This window comes from Homo sapiens, chromosome 17 (assembly GCF_000001405.40).
Source record: "Homo sapiens chromosome 17, GRCh38.p14 Primary Assembly".
Taxonomy (NCBI): domain Eukaryota; kingdom Metazoa; phylum Chordata; class Mammalia; order Primates; family Hominidae; genus Homo; species Homo sapiens.
In genome coordinates this window covers 27,611,781-27,628,358 of record NC_000017.11, presented here as the reverse complement: position 1 = coordinate 27,628,358, position 16,578 = coordinate 27,611,781, and the positions used below count along the sequence as shown (strand labels likewise).

General features: G+C 48.4%; 1 protein-coding gene and 1 pseudogene across 21 annotated transcripts in view; one reads left to right on the top strand and one right to left on the bottom strand.

Annotated features, from left to right (window-relative positions):
- Positions 1-1,923: 1,923 nt before the first annotated feature.
- Positions 1,924-16,578, bottom strand: part of KSR1 (kinase suppressor of ras 1) — a 169,988-nt gene continuing 155,333 nt past the window's right edge. For 8 of the 21 annotated variants that reach the window (XM_047436989.1, XM_047436985.1, NM_001394583.1 and 5 more), the window contains 3 exons: positions 10,931-11,064; positions 7,086-7,166; positions 1,924-5,045 (listed from right to left, as the gene is read on the bottom strand). In XM_047436989.1, the coding sequence (XP_047292945.1) occupies positions 4,967-5,045; positions 7,086-7,166; positions 10,931-11,064 (294 nt within the window). In that variant the 3' untranslated portion in view covers positions 1,924-4,966. Of the gene's footprint in view, positions 6,431-7,085; positions 7,167-10,926; positions 11,065-16,578 lie in introns of those variants that run through there. The other 13 variants (XM_011525429.3, NM_001367810.1, XM_006722154.4 and 10 more) reach the window with 5 other exon arrangements.
- Positions 15,108-15,786, top strand: ITM2BP1 (integral membrane protein 2B pseudogene 1; annotated as a pseudogene).

Sequence of the window (16,578 nt, the reverse complement as noted above, 5' to 3'; positions counted from 1 at the left end):
TGGCTGTGATTAAAAAAAAAAAAAAAATCCAGGAAATAACAACTGTTGGCTAGATTGTGGGTAAACTGGAACTCTGTGAAAACAGCATGGCTGTTACTCAAAAATCTCAACATAGAATTACTATATGATCCAGCAATTCCACTTCTGGGTATATCCCCCAAATAACCAAAAACAGGAACTCAAAGAGACATGTGAACACCCATGTTTGTAGGAGCATCATTCACAAAAGCCAAGAGGTGAAAGCAACGCATGTCCATCAATGGATGAGTGGTCAACAAAATGTGGGCCAGACATACAATTCTATAGATAGTACAAATAGCCCACGTTTGAATCTTGGCCCTGTCATTTAATTCTTGTGTGATCTTCAATAAGTTCCTTAATTTCTCCAAGCTTCCTTTCCTCACCCATAAAATGAGGCAAATGAATGTGAACCTTAGAGAGATGCTGTGGGGATTAAATGGGCTAATGCATGAAAAGGACTTGGGGCTGAGCTCCGCACGTAGTGCCCACACACCAGCACCTTTAGAGTCACTCCTGGACTGCACTGATCCTGCGCCCAGACCCATTCACCTTCGCCAGTAGTAGACTTCCTCAAGAAGGAATCCTTCCATCTGCAGTGACACCTCCAGCACAGAGGGCCTCGGCAGGGCAGTCAGTGATGCCCGCAGACACCTGAGTCCTGTCGTACAATGCAGGGGGCCCTGGGTCGTCTTGTCCAGTTCCCTTTGGAAACCTCATTGTATTGGTACAGCCGTACTGAACCACATTAATCACTAAAACATGCATGCACATCCCCCCCACTGAGAACATTCTCTTTGAGCGTATTCTACCTCCATAAAGTCAGATATATGGTTCTAACTGCTTCCTAATGGCAAATTAACAGTGCAACTCTCTCCTGTAAACAGACTATGACAAAACAGTACTTGGTTTGCCTCACTCAGTAAATCCAGTAGTAGTTTAAGGCAGCAGTCACCAAACTTTTTGGCACCAGGGACCAGTTTCATGGAGGGCAATTTTTCACGGATGGAAAGGGATATACAATGATTTCAGGATGAAACTTTTCCACCTTAGATCATCAGGCATTAGACTCAGATTCTCCTAAGGAGCGCACAACCTAGATCCTTCACATGTGTAGTTCACAATAGGGTTTGTGCCCCTATGAGAATCTAGTGCCGCTGCCTAACTTCATCCTATTGTGGTTGGAGAAGATGCTTTGTATGTTATGTTTAAATCTATTGAGACTTAATGTGTGGCCTACCACGCGGCCTATCCTGGAAAATGCTCCACAACCTAGCACTGTCTTATGAACATAGTAGGTGCTCAGTAAATGTCTGACCAGCAAATTCCTAGACTTCTGGAGAGATTCTGGAGTGAAAGCTGTGGCCTGAGTCCTGGATTGGCCACCCTGCAGCTGTGTGATCTTGGGTGAATACCTTAACCTCTCCGTTTCTCATTTTCCTCAGCTGAAACATCACAATTCTTACCTCATGGCCTTGTGAGGATTAAAGTGAGATGGTGTTTAGAAAGTACCTCTTCTCCACCTATCTGTATATATAACTGGCAATGAGGGGCTCCTAGATATTGGATTCAGATGAACACCACCTCATCCCTCCAAGGCTTCCATAAGGCTAAGGCATCTCCAGCTCAGGAGATGCTGGGCCTGCTCATGGCTTTGTTGCTGCTGGGGCCTGGATGATCTTCCTCTGCGCATTGTGGGCCATTGACGCTGTGCCTTCTCCATTCCTCCATCTGTTTAGAAACACCTGCCACTGAGGTCCTGGCATAACTTCTTCCTTTGGAAGGAGCTCCTTAATCTATAGACCAGGGGTTCAGTCACCCCAGACCTATCCATTCCCATGCCACCCATCCAAATGGTCCCCAGGACTCAGCTGGAACTGACCAAAGCAAAGACAAGCCCCAGAACACCTTGGTATAACTTTATTCACAAACTCCAGACACCCAGGCCTGGCTTAGCACAGAGGGCATGTTCTTGCCAGTGGCAAAAAAACCCGATACAGCATGTTTGTTAATACTAACCATTTTAATTTAAATTAATAGCATGTCTGGAAGACAAATGTAGTTGATAGAAAATATAAAAACTTTACTGTACAAATTTTACATCACATTCAAAAAAAGCAAGTGTGTGGCTTGTGGCCACAGAAGATGCTAGGTTTGCACGCTGATGAGATCCTGGCTAACACTGCTGCATAGCACAAACTCCAACTGGCTTCACATTTACGTCTCCACCCTCCCCCCACACCAAATCAACACAGAATAACACAGGTTTCCAGGGCTTGCCATTCCTCTCTGTGACCTCAAGAGGAAATGCCGTAGGATGACAGAGGGTGTTTTGATTTGGTGACATGGAGAGATCAACTTTGCTACACACTGCTCACAACCCCAAACTAGCTAGGATTCAAGACTTCGAGTTAGACAGAAACCCAGGGGGCTGCGGCTCTGGTGGTTAAAGGCAGCAGGGCTTCAGAGGTGAGGCTGGAAACTGGGGATGCCTGGAGGGCCAAAGCTTGGGCTCCACTCTCAGACCCCCGTGGGGACTTCCGCAGCCCCTAAGAGCTCTCCCCGAGCCCTCCCAGCCTTCTCCATCCCCTTCACAGTTGGCCGTGAGGGCTGAATTCACAGTATCTGTCATCCTTCGTGTGGAGAGAGCACACAGAAGGGCAGGTGTGCCTTCCTAACCTCAATTCACAGTCACTGAAATACAAGGGGAACAGAGGGGGCCATCATGGGGTGGGGTGGGGTTCTTTAAAGGCAGGCAGTGCAGAGGTGGCAGGCTGAGAGCCAGCTGCCCCCAGTCCTTCAGTTCCACCTTTGGGGCCCAGTGGCTTCTGGGTTCCTTGAAGACAACAGGGCCCCACCAGGTCATCAGTTCCTTAAGAGCAGGGACCATGACTGTTCCTATCTCTAGGTGCCCAGCACTTGCAGAAGACCAAGTGCACTGTAGTTGCTCAATGAGCGCTTCTTTAACTGTGATGCTCACGAGAAAAGCAAAACCCAGACTGACTTTCTGTGGGCCTGTGCATGCCCACTGCGGCCTGGTGTCAGGGGTCAGGGAGGAACTGAGCCTACTGTTCCTCCCAGTTGGACGGCTGAGCTGACATCCAACTGTGGGGCTCACCAGTACATCCATCAGGCCTGCTCTTGCCTGGACAAAGGCCACCATTGCAATAGAAAGGTGAAAGGCTGGAGACACACGTGATCCCTGGGAAGGGGCAGGTGTGTGGGAGGCCAAAGGGATGATGGGGCAAAATGAGCAGTCCCACCATAGCACAGAAACTCCACACGGAGCTGAATCCACGGGGTTTACAGCCTCCCCACACAGACTGGGAAGGGTGAAGATGCTGATGGCCAGGCACACTGGCACTGTAATACGGCTGTGCCCTCCCAGGAGGGGCTGACCAAGGGATGCCAGGCCTGGAGAGGAGGCAGCTCCACAGCTTGCTGGCAGAGCAGCTCATTTTCTGTGGCATTTTGACCAGACTCTGGTGCTAGGGAAGGGGCTGGAGACTGGGGCTCTGCTAGGCAGGTCTTAACTGGAAGGGGTGGGAGCCACACCCCTCCCTCCCCAAGTCTGAGCTCAGAGCATGGTCACAGGTTCTGGGCCTGAATCCAATCACGTCTCCACTCCCATCACCCTTTTTCCTTTCTGGTTTTGGAGTCTAATGCAACCTAATCTCCACTTAAGGGCTCCCTTGCCATCTGGAACTTTTTTCTGCAGTTAAGAGTTTCTAACGAAGACAAGCGTGGTGCTCTCACTTCAAAGACTTTTCCAAATCCAGCCCCTCCTGCTTCAAATGGACACAAGTAGAAGGCCTAATGGTGCTAAGGAAGGCTCTGCAGATGGGGGCCAGCTAGGTAGGTCTAAATGAAAGGGGTGATAGCCCACACACTGCCCAGCTGAACTCAGAGCATGGACAGAGGAGTCGGAAATAGGCTAAGGGGTTTCAGCAGGACTGAAATGGAAGAGGTGGGCAGTTCTAGAACCTTCTGGCATGACTGACAAAGGGTTTTTACAGTGCCAGGGTCACCCTGTGGCTGGGAAGTGGGCTCAGGTACTTTTGCCATCTACTCCTCCTTGTTCCCACCCATCCAGCCCTCATGGTCAGATGTCAGTCAGGGACTGGGATGTATCTAAAAGCCAAGGCCCTGAGTCCCATCACCTTGGTGCCTGCCTGGGGGCTTCATCAAAGACTCACATCTGTACAAGCCATGGATGTTTCCTCACCTTGCAGCAGAAACCCTGGCTGGGAACCACCGGGTGAGTCCAGACCTTTTTTGGATTCTGTTTCTACTTTTCCAGCAGGAGCAGCCTGGATTACAGGGGTGAGAAGGTGAACCCAAGCTCTCCAGGAATTCCAGACTCCATAAACTAGCTCAGTTCCTAGCCAGGGTTTCCTCTGCAAGACGAGGAAGGGGCAGTATCCCTTTGAAAGGACAAGGGGAGAGCCCTAGATAGATTTCCCTGATGGAGTCTTGGGCCAAAAAGCAGAGGCCAGATCAGACCTTCTGGGCTCCCCGCCCTACCCCAAGAACAGCTGCAATTACCATGTTTGTCTTCCTTCTGGCCCAGCATGGGTCCCTCACCGCCTACAAGGTCCTCAGAGGGGATGGCCATTTCCGCCATCCTGGCCGTCAGTGCCAGTGCATCTGCACAGACTGTTTTTATTATTACCTATTGTAAAACATCAGGTTCACTCAGGAGAAATATACGTGTAAACATTTGCTGTCTGTCATGACAGGTTTGGTTGTTGGTGGTGTCATTTTAAGAAATAGCAGGTGCAGCTCCATCTCCCGAGTGGGGTTTATGGCCAACAGTCTGAATCTAGGACGTGTGCTCCTGGTTTGCAGCGCTGGGCAGGCAGTGTTTTTTTGTCGTGGTGGTTGTTGGGATGTTTCAGAAACACATTTTAAAAAGAAAGAGATCAGCAGCGAAAAACCATATGGCTGGCTACATCTTTGGATTACTGGACTCCAGGACGCCCAAGCCAAACCTTTCAAACCGGGGTACAACTTTGCTGCTGTTAATGCTGCAAAGAGGAACAAAAACAAGAATTATAGCCCCATTGATCTTCATCAGAATTAGGGTAACACTAGCTAGGAAATGAGTTCAGCAGAGGACCTGGCCTCCAACAAGAAATGAAAATGACTGATTGGCCAACAGCCCTGGCAGAGCTGCCCCTGGTCATACTGCGTCCAAGGCCTCAGCTACACTCCAAGTAGTCCTACTTGGAGCAGCAACGGTGGCTCATTCATCTCCAAGTCCCAAGCTCCCAGCATGCTCAGTACTGCTGTGGGTTCCTAGGAATTGTTTTCTCATTTGCAGCCCAGGAAAGCTCTTGCTCCAAGTAGAACTGAGAGAGAAGAGAAACATGACTCCCAGGATACCAGGAGTGACAGGGCATGTTCCTTTTAGCAATAAACTCTAATACTGGGGTGCATCAGGGCCACCTGGGAAGCAGGTTGAAATGCAAATTCCTAGGGCCCCATTCCAGAGATCTGGGTTCAGCAGGTCTTGCTGGGGAGGGAGAACAGAAACCTGCATTTGGTAAACAGTGCATTGACTGCCACAGGGGACTCAGCAGCCATGCTCTTGACAAATGCTGACCTGGGGTCTGGTCTATGGTACACTGGGCAGCTGTAAAGGAAGTAACTTTGCCAGGGTGGCAGGGTGGGGACGGGGCAGAGACTTTGTTTTCATCAGAAAAATTGTCTGGAGCCAGGTACCTCTTTGCTTTAAGACAATTTTTCTGAGGGTGCCACTGAAGACACAACCCTTCCAAGCTGGTATCTTTCATGGCCACAGAACTTTCTGTGTCTTCTGATCTAACTCTACAGAGGGGACTGAGACAGGAGCCAGCGCAGAGGGTTCCTGTGACCAGGGTGCCAGCCTCAGGGCAGCTCTGAAATCATTCCACTCCTTGTTGGACAAAATCCCCACAGGTTAAAAGCCAAGCCAACACCCTCCCAACCTCCGCCCGCCCCGCACTAGGCACACACCCAGTGGGAGGCTGGTGTGCTCAGGAGGGTGGAAGGCATCTCACTAAGGTGTTAGCAGTGAGACAGAGCCACCCAAACAAAAACAAGACCAGCCCTCAGAAGAACACGGGAGCAATCAGTCATGTCCAGGAAGGTAGTTAGAAGCTGCCCAGACTGCCTTGGAGGGAGCTCAGTTAGTGGGATCCTCTGAGAGCAGTTACTTGGGCATATGCAGGCCACGTGGAGAGGGCAGAGGGCCAGTTTTTAAAACAAAGCAAAAGAAGTAGCCTCGAGAGAGACGACTGGAGCAGCAGAGGTGGCATCCCCTGGGTTAGTGCCCGCATCTCATTTTGCATTTTAGCAGAAGTCACGGTGCTGAGTTGTTGATTAGGAGGAAGAAAGCCCCTGGTGCATGCAAGGCAGCCAGGCCTACAACCTACAGAGGGAAAGAGAAGAAAGCAAAGAACAGCATCAGAATCATAGCCCCAATGCAGAGCCTGTCGGGAGCTAGAGGTCTGGCCAGAGCAGCTGGGCAGGGGACTCCCTTTCTCTTCCAGAGAGAAAGGGCCATCCTGGACTCCATCCCCCAGGCTTGGCTGCACTGCATGCTCAGAAGGGATCCTGGGCACAAAGAACCCTCTCTAAGCTCCCGCAGGGCACAGTTGCAGCACGTTTATAAAGAGGATGGAACATGCCCACAGCTCCTTAGCCCTTGACGAGTAAAATCTACTTCCAAGAGTATTTCTGCTTAACTGGATTCTCTTCTCTTGAGCTCTGGCCAGGGGGACTGGGATCCTGGGGGCTCAAATCAATGACCAGAATTTTCTCCGACCCAGGGACAAGCCACCCATTCACTCATGGTGTGGACAAAGGCCCCGCCACATGCTGTGGCTCTTCTCTCACCCAGCGAAAAATGCAAGCCTGTGTGACCCTTGCTGGAAGCCATTTCAGCTGCAGAAACCTCACTTTGGTTTGCGAGAATAAATGACACAAAGATGGGAGAAGCTGGGAAGCGGCGACAGAAAGGAAGCAGGGCTTGTGTCAGGAAAACCAGAGACAGGCAGCCAGCGAAGGAAGTAACAGGAACACACTATTCCTCCAGAATCGGACAGGAGCTCTTAAAGTCAGGGTGGCCGTAGCGTCCTTTTCCATAGTAGCGGCTCCTCCAGCGACTGGGAGTGCCCAGCGACCATTCCACCAGGCGTGGGAAGAGCGCAGTCCGGCCCCGGCATGTGATGGAGTCAGGCACGTGTGGACAGGTGGAGGAATCAGGTGATGGGAAAGTGGGAGATGACAGAACAGCACATCCGCCACCCCCCGAAAATAAAAAAGTGACAAGATCAATGGAAAGAAAAGAGAAAGTGAGAATTAGGGGGCAAGCGTGTAGAAAGTAAACACTGTGAACAGGAAGCTTTGACACAGACTCATTCAGGAAAGGAAAGCCCGCATGCTTTCCTCGAAGGGGCTGGGCAGGGAACAGCCCCATCTGTGACTCAGTTTCCTGCCTGTGAAATGAGAAGGTGGGACTATATGGTTTTTGGGGAATCTGGAATGATGTTCTGAATGCCAGTGTCCACCTAGTGGAGCCTTTTCTTTCGTCACGGAGAAAACCAGGGCCCAGCTTGTTAAGCAAGTTGCCCACGGTCTGATTAGAGCTTGGCCTCGCTGCCTCACATCACCCTCCTTGAACTGCTAAGAGCCCCATGCTCCTGGTCTCTGCTGGGATAGTTCTGGCTCAAAACCCAGCCCTGACGACCTTCTTCCAGAGACTCTTCCTCCTGTCCCCCAGGTGGATGCAGAGGCCCCCATCTGGGCTTTATCACAGCACTTGGCATGGTATCACCCTTTGCTCACATTCATTCATGCACATTAAATATTTAGTGCCCAACTATAATGTTCCTGGGACTGTACTAGGAGCCAGGAATACAAAGGTGACAAGAAAGAGTCCTGATGTGTGCAGGTTTCATTACAGTGTGTCTGTTTGTCTTTAGGACACTGCAATCTCCTTGCTGGTGGAACCCTGGCCTCGGCCATCTGTGTAGCAATGCGGCAGGTGTGCAGGCATGCGGCAGGTGTGCAGCAATGGCTGCCTAAAATGTATACCTCTATGGCTACGATCCATTACCCCACAGTTGTACTGGACTCCGACCCATCCTAAGAGCAAAATACTGAACCCAGTATTGCATGAGACATGGTATTCCCTAACCCCACACAGTCGTTCCTCCAGACCATCCCTCTACCTGGCCTGAATCAGTGAAGAACCAAGCATTTCTTTAGTGACTTCTGCAGGAGAGAAAACTCATGCTGAGTTTCTCCTCAACTGCAGCTTGGGGCCCACTTTGGTTCTTTATCAAGACAGGGCCCGAAGGCCGGGCGCGGTGGCTCATGCCTGTAATCCCAGCACTGTGGGAGGCCAAGGCGTTTGGAGTTTGAGACCACCCTGGCCAACATGATGAAACCCCATCTCTACCAAAAAACACAAAAATTAGCCAGGTGTGGTGGCAGGCACCTATAATCCCTGCAACTTGGGAGGCTGAGGCATGAGAATCGCTTGAACCCGGGAGGCGGAGGTTGCAGTGAGTCGAGATTGCACCACTGTACTCCAGCCTGGGTGACAGAGCAAGACTCTGTCTCAGAAAAAACAAAAAAATAAAAGACAAGGCCTGGAGGCTGGGTGCAGTGGCTCACGACTGTAATCCCAGCACTTTGGGAGGCTGAGGTGGGTGATCACCTGAGGTCAGGAGTTCGAGACCAGCCTGACCAATATGGTGAAACCCCATCTCTACTAAAAATACAAAAATTAGCCGGGTGTGGTAGCGTGCGCCTATAGTCCCAGCTACTCAGAAGGCTGAGGCAGGAGAATCGCTTGAACCCGGGAGGTGGAGGTTACAGTGAGCTGAGATCGTGCCACTGCACTCCAGCCTGAGTGACAGAACAAGACTCTGCCTTTAAAAAAAAAAAAAAAAAAAGATACAGCCCAGAAAACAATGTGCAAGCCAAATCTGGCCACACACTAAGAAAGGTTCTGACTACTTTAAAGGGTTAAAAAACAGTAACAAAGAACATGTAACAGAGACTGTGCCACCTGCAAGCCCAAAATATTTATTACCTGACCCTTCCTAGGATAAGGAATGCTGCCATCACCACACCTGGCGCCAGGTATGGGAGTTGGGGATGCAGCTTCTCCAGGCACTCAGTGACACACATACACAGGGACGGGGGCCTCAGGGGCTTTCTTGGCAGCGGGTGGCAGAAAGGCTCTTCCCCTCACTCTCATCAAGAGCAGCTCCACTTTATGGGTTTTATAGAGCGGGACTCTGTGGGAGATTTCACTTTTAGAAAGTGTCCTTTTCCTTAAAGTTTATAACTGGCCGGGCGCAGTGGCTCACGCCTGTAATCCTAGCACTTTGGGAGGCCGAGGCAAGAGCATCACTTGAGCTCAGGAGTTTGCAACCAGCCTGGGCAACATAGTGAGACCTCATCTCTATGTATACAAAAATTTTTTTTGGAAAGTTTTTCAGAAAGTTAAAACTATTCTTAGTTTGCAGATTGTACAGACACAGGTGGCAGGCCATACTTGACCTACAGGCTGGACTCCTGGGTGAGATGAAGCGATTCACTTTCTACATGGTTGGGGGGCAAAAATACCAAAAGAAGACTATTTCATGACATGTGAAATCCCAGTTTCCAGCATTAAGTCTTACTGGCACACAGCCAGCTCCCTGGTTTATGCTGTCCGTGGCTGCTCCCGTGTTGCGACGGCAGAGCTGAGATGCTGTGACAGAGATGGTGCTCGGCCCACTGCCGAAGTCAGCCCCAGAGTGAGGACTTGAGTTGCCCTCTTGGCCTGCAATGCCTCCAATATTCACCTGGCCCCTTACAGCCAGTTTACCTGCCCTAGACCTGGCCCAACCCCTAGCCCAGAGACTTTTTAATGCCGTGGAAACTGAGGCCCAGAACAAACTTCCCAGGTTCTCACAGAGCATTCGTGACAGAGCAGAGGTCTCTTCTGAGTGTTCTAGCAGAGGCAGCCAGAAGACAAAGGAAAAAGGGAATGAGATAGAATGCAGGAGAGACGACAGTGGCCTGTGACCTGGTGGACATCACCCCTGCACCAAGGGGTGCAAAGGGCTGTGTGTTAAACCAGGAGGGAGAGAGCTTCTAAACCCAAGTGACTGTGGTCCCCATAAGAGGTGGCTGGCTTCTTGTGTTTCGGTGGGTGCCATTGTAAGCAATATTGACTCTGCTTATTTCAGTGAAGCTTATAATACCACATCACTCTAATTTCTATCTAACTGGCCCCATCTTGCCCCTCCCTCAGCAGAGCCTTCTAGTCCTGGCCTGGCCTGGTATCAGTGCTGGTCTGCTAATAGTGATGATGTAGTATTTCATAGCGGCAAACTGGAGGTGCTCACCTGTCAAAGGGAGTCTCCAAAATAAATGTGGTAAACGAAATCCTCGTATCACTTGGGCAAGGGGACTAGTCACCTCTGGGTGACCTACTGTGTGTATTCCTCAGATCAAACTCCTGGGCAGAGGCCAGGCATGGTGACTCATGCCCGTAATCCCAGCACTTTGGGAGGCTGAGGCAGGAGGATCACTTGAGGTCAGGAGTTCAAGACCAGCCTGGCGAATATGATGAAACCCCGTCTCTACTAAAAATACAATAATTAGCCAAGTGTGGTGGCAGGTGCCTACAGTCCCAGCTACTCGGGAGGCTGAGGCAGGAGAATTGCTTGAACCCAGGAGGCGGAGGCTGCAGTGAGCTGAGATCGTGCCACTGCACTCCAGCCCTGATGACAAGAGCGAGACTCTGTCTCAAAAAAAACCCCAAAAAACAAAGTCTTGGGCAGAAAGATCAGAAGGTGCCCTCTAAGACCCCAGGTGAGGCTGCGAGGGCCTGGCTGGCAGTCTGGCTCATGGAAGAGGCACTTACTCAGCTGACTTCCAGAAGTGTCCAGGGTGGGAGAGCCGCCGGTTCAGCTTGGGAAGTTTCTCCAGCATGTCCATCAGCAGGCTGAAGCTGGGTCTCTCCTGCAGGTCGAAAGCCCAGCAGGCCGACAGGATCTCCTGCAAATGGAGCTGCCATTAGTGGTGTGTGAGCTGGCTGGGAGGGAGGGGGCACACAGTAGGGGTGCTCCACAAAGGGTCCCTTTGATGTTCTCAAGTGCCCTCTAACTGGCGGCCCCCTGAACACCCTGCCGACATGAAGGGGTGAGAAGTAACTGGGTTTCAGAGAACCACTCATGCTTCTGGTTCAACATGGAATGCATGAGATTACCTCACCTCCTTCCTTCTTAGATCCATGCTCACCCCAAAATAAGAGTAACCATGATGAACACACCAGCAATGGGAAAGAGATCAGAAATGGGGCTGTTGGTTTTTTGAAGATGCAAAGTGCAAGGTACAACGTTCACAGGTGAAATGCAAGATGCTCGGAATATGCGCAAGGCGGGGCTGCAGTGGACGAGGGAGCCTCAGCATTACTAGAATGGCGGCTGGAGTGACAAGAAGACTCGATATACGGGCAGCAGCTAAGAGTCAGCAGAACAGCTGTCCCGACTGCCCCCAGAGCAAAGCCCTTCTTGCTGTGGCATTTTGCTGCCTACTCTCAGGATCCACATGTGTACCAGCACGGCCCTGCAGCCTTCTGATTCAGAGCTGCCTGTGAGGAAAGGCCTATTTCTTGCACATACGACCAGGCAGGACACATACACCCACACAGACTCAGCAACTCAGGCTTTTGCTCTTAAATACAACTGGACCCCATGGGGTTGCCTGCCGTATCAGGAAAACCAGAGAGAGATCAAAGATAAGCAGATCAAGATACTGTCTCTGGAGGATATGGGGTGTACATGTGTGTGTGTGTACATTTGTGTGAAGCAGCTGCTCTATCCATAAAACAAGACCAGGCTGCAATAAAAAAGAAATCAACAAATAAGAAAGTGCTTGAAATGAAAATATAATTTCTGAACTGAAACATTAAAAGTGCTGGAAGATAAAAATCAAGGAAATCCCCCAGACTGTAGGCTCAATTCTAGAAAGGGATGGAAAATACAAAAGAAGGTAAGAGAAATGTAGGCTCACTAAGAAGAACCAAATTCTGTCTAATGGGGATTTCCACAAAAGTAAACAGACTATTGGGCAGGAAATTATCAAAGAAATAATAAAAGAAAATTTACCAGAAGCTTTCAAAGGTAGCAGCTGTCTTCAGCTGAAAAGGTCCAATAAAGGGACCTCACTAAAAACAGTTAAAAAACAAACAAACACACAAAAAAACTCTACCCTCAGATATATGTTTATGAAATTTCACTATAGCAGGCATAAACAGAAAATCCTAGATGCTTCCAGAAAGAGTAAGATAGGCATCCACAAATGGTTGAGAATCAGACCAACACCAGACTTCTCAACAAGGCACTGGACACTTAGTAGACAGCAGGGCAAAATCCCTGTGTTCTCAGGGAAAATTATTATGAATCTGGAATTCTACTCCTGATATGAGGATGAAATAATAACTATTTTAGGCATGCAAGGATTCAAAGATTATCTCCCATTCTTCCACTGGGAGGCAGTTTTTTCAGGTTTCACTCGCAGTTTATTTGCTGGAGTGCAAATAAAGAGAGGGCACGATATGAGACATAAAGAATAGTGCAACTGACCCAGGAGTGAATGAAAAGAAAACAGAAGGGTAACAGCTGTGCAGCAGGCCTAATATCCCATTGATTCCAACGACAAGAAACCAGTGGACTCTGAAAAGAATGTAACAGATTCCATTTAGGAAGCAGAATGCAGAAGCTGAAAGACCTCAGGAATATGAGAAAGGTGTTTGTTTCTTCTCTCAGCAATAAGAAAAGGCAAGAAGGAAAAAAGAAGGCAATTAGAAACTACAGGAAAAACCTAAACTGCACAAGAAAGCCATGGTCCAAATGTGAAGCCAACAAAATTGTGAGCCTTTGAGTAATTGATGAAGTGGAAGAGATGGACCCACAAAGAAAATGTAATCCCAGTGAATCATCTGACCAGTGGCTAATACCACTTACAGTCTACTATAGTAGTGTATACACTGTTCATCATCTTTTCACTTTCAGCCTCCATCAACAGGCACAGCATGGAAGATTTAATCATGGCAACCTTAACAATAAGTAATGGGAGAGCTGACCAAAGTGGTGCAGCAGAAATAACGGAGTGCCAGAGTGAAAAGCTGATAGACCCAGGTGATGCCTTTGGAGAATGATCTAGGGTGAGGGACTGCTGGTTTTCATTAAGAACCCTCTGGTCTTTTGATGTCTTCCCATATGCATGGACCCTTAAATACAATGATTAATAACTCACTGGCTGCCTCAGCACATAAAGCAGTGCCTGGTGGTGAACTATACAGCAGTGTGGCTGGAGAGACAGAGAAAGGCATCACTCAGAGGGCACTCCCAGCTTTTGTCTATGACAGAAAATAATTTTATTGCGTTGACCAATGTTCCCCTACCCCTAATAGCAATGTGTTAAAAAGGGAAGGCAAGACTGGACAAAAGAAAGGGAACTCCTGTGAGCCACAAGCTGCTGCCGGAGCATCTGCTCTCTCCCCACTCCCCACGCCCTGATCCCACACTGGTCTCAAAACAACCATCACCCCGCACTAAAAGAAATCCTTCCAATTAGTTCAGAACTCTGGCTGTGCTCTAGAATGATCTGAGGAGCTTTATTTAAAAATAAAAAATAAAAAAACTATGATCTTATTCCCATCCCAGGCCAATTTAATTGGTACCTCTGTGGGGGAGGCCTTAACCCTGGCATTTTTATAAAGCTCCCAGATGATTCCAACTTGCAGCCAGTGCCGAGCCTTGACTCCCTTGCAGCCCTTTGCTCAGCTCTGCTCCAGCCTTTGCCTCCCTGAAGATGGCACTTACCATTCTCTGCTCCAAGATGCTAAGTATGCAGAAAGGAAACAAACTGTTGCCAGGAGGGCAGAACGAAGAATATCTTTTCTCTCAGATGCAACAAATATACATAATACTCTGGTTTATACAAAGATGTCCTTGCTAACTCTTGTAAAGAGAGGTTAAAACTGGAAAGAATCCCCATGTCCAGTGACAGAAGTAGTTACATTATGGTGCGGCCACAGGACATAAGGGCAGACAGTCTTAACAATAAGGATTTGTTAATGATTTGAGGTAATGAGCATAATAAAATGTCATGTGGAAAAAGTCACAATAAAAAAATCAGCTAGGTTTTATGATATGTATGTCTTAAATATTTTTTTAAAAGACTATGCCAGGCATGGGGGCTCATGCCTGTAATCCCAGCACTTTGGGAGGCTGAGGCAGATGGATCCCTTGAGGCCAGGAGTTTGAGACCAGCTTGGCCAACATGGTGAAACCCCATCTCTACTAAAAATACAAAAATTAGCTGGATATTTTGGTGCATGCTTGTAATCCCAGCTACTTGGAGGCTGAGGCGGGAGATCACTTGAACCTGGGAAGCAGAGGTTGCAGTGAGCCAAGATCGTGCCACTGCACTTCAGCCTGGGCGACAGAGCAAAACTGCTTCAAAAAAAATTTAAAAAGACTGGAAAGCAGTGGTTACTTCAGCTGCCATCTGAGCTGCCCCAGAGCTCAGCCAAGGAGGCTGCAGCCACAGCCAGGAGCCCAAAACCTGTATCTTGAGCCCACTGACAGTTGCAGGAGGCAGATAAAGAAGGGTCCCTGGAGAACCTCCATCCTGCCCCACAAGTGTTTACAACAGATGTTTTTGTGCAGATGAGGGAACCTGCACAGGGTCTTGCCTGGGTACACCCACAATGGACTGGAGACCCACATGCACTGGGGGAATAGGGTGGAGCCACCAGGAATTCGCGCCTTATGCAGGGGAGGAGCCTGGCCTCTTCAGCTCGTGTGTGGTGGCCTGATATTCAATCTGTGAGATGGGAGCCTGTTGGGAGGACCCCCTCTTTTTTGCTGAGAGGTTTCTTTTAATGAATTCCACTCTCCTCACCTTTCAATGTGTCCGCATGCCTAATTTTTCCTGGTCATGAGACAAGAACCTGGATTTTAGCTGAGCTAAGGAGCAAAAAATTCTGCATCACCACCACACGCTCCTAAGGCACCCGAGGATGCACCAAGGTGAAGGTGGTGTTTAACTGGCCCTGGCCCAGAAGGAGGCCAAGAAGGACGGGCCTCAGAGTGTCAGAGAAGTGCTCATCACCCATGGCCCTTGCCCAGCACCCCAGATGAAATGGTATCAACTGGCCAAAGAGGAGCCTGCTGTTCGTGTTGTTAAATAGCATTTTGGTGTCATCTTTGGAGGGGCATCCCCGTACAAATATTTTGCACTTCAACAAGATGACATATACTACTGTGGAATAAAGTAGATCAGATATAATGTCATCTTGAGTGAGCCTTCTGAAGACGCCCTAGCTGCTTGCCACCAGTCAATTGAGAAAAATATTACCATCTATTAAGAACTTGGAGGACGATGAGGTTGAATTCATCACTGCAAATTTGCAGACAGAGTCTGCAGACAGACAGTGATCCTGCCAGCAATGTTCATGACCTTAACAAGAAGCTCACAGCCTGTTTGTATCTTAGCCTGGACAAGTGCTGGGTGGTCCCTCTGAAGACTTCAATTGTTATGCTGCCCAAATACTGACTGGAGTTGCTTATTAACATCAAGGCTGTTCTGTCCCAATCCTATCTGATTCATGGACACATGGCTATCACTGATGGCACTGAAAACACCAAGCCCTGGAGTTTCTTTATATATCACTGTGCTGTGATAAAGGAAACTGAAAGCTGTCAGAATCAAAAGAGAGTCACAAATGTGAAGAAAACTCTGACAAATCGGGCCTGGGAAAGCCATGAAGAGAGGCTTCTTGGGCTTGTATGTCTGATAACAAAAACTACCACTAAAGACTGCAAAAACTGCAACCTTGTACGAAGGCCATGGCAACCTTATACAAAAATACTCCTACAAGGACATCTGCCTCAAACAACCTGTCTAACCTTGGACTGACATCACTCTTGTTACTCATCTCTGTAGCCAGGGAAAACTACTAAATATGTCAAAATAATTGTGTAATCCTCTTCATTTTTTCCTTTACCTCCCTGAATAAGCAAGCCATTCACCATGGCATGCATATTCCCAGTGCAACGCTCTATTTCCAAATAAACATCTTTTGAGAGCCTCTCTCTCTTATTTAGCCTGACAAAACTTACAAACACAGAGAATCCATTAAGGAGAAACCATGTAGAAATGAGAAGTCGGCCACTATAATTAAGACTTGGTTTTTTGAAAACAAGTTTGCTGTGGAAACTTTGATTTGTTCTTAATAGTCAAGAAAAACATTATGAGGAAAGATTTAATACCACAGCATAGCACAACTATTTGTATTTTCAGCAGTGATTTTTTTAAAAAAAATTATCTTCTTTCATGTAAATAACATGGGGCTTTACTTTCTTTTCATCTCATAAATCAATGAAAACCATTATCTTTAAGAAAAAAAAAAGACTGAAAGGAATGAAAAGGGTGAGCAGTGGGGTGAGGATAGATATTTTCTTATTTATGCCTCCCTGTTCCTTCCCCATTCCCGGGCAA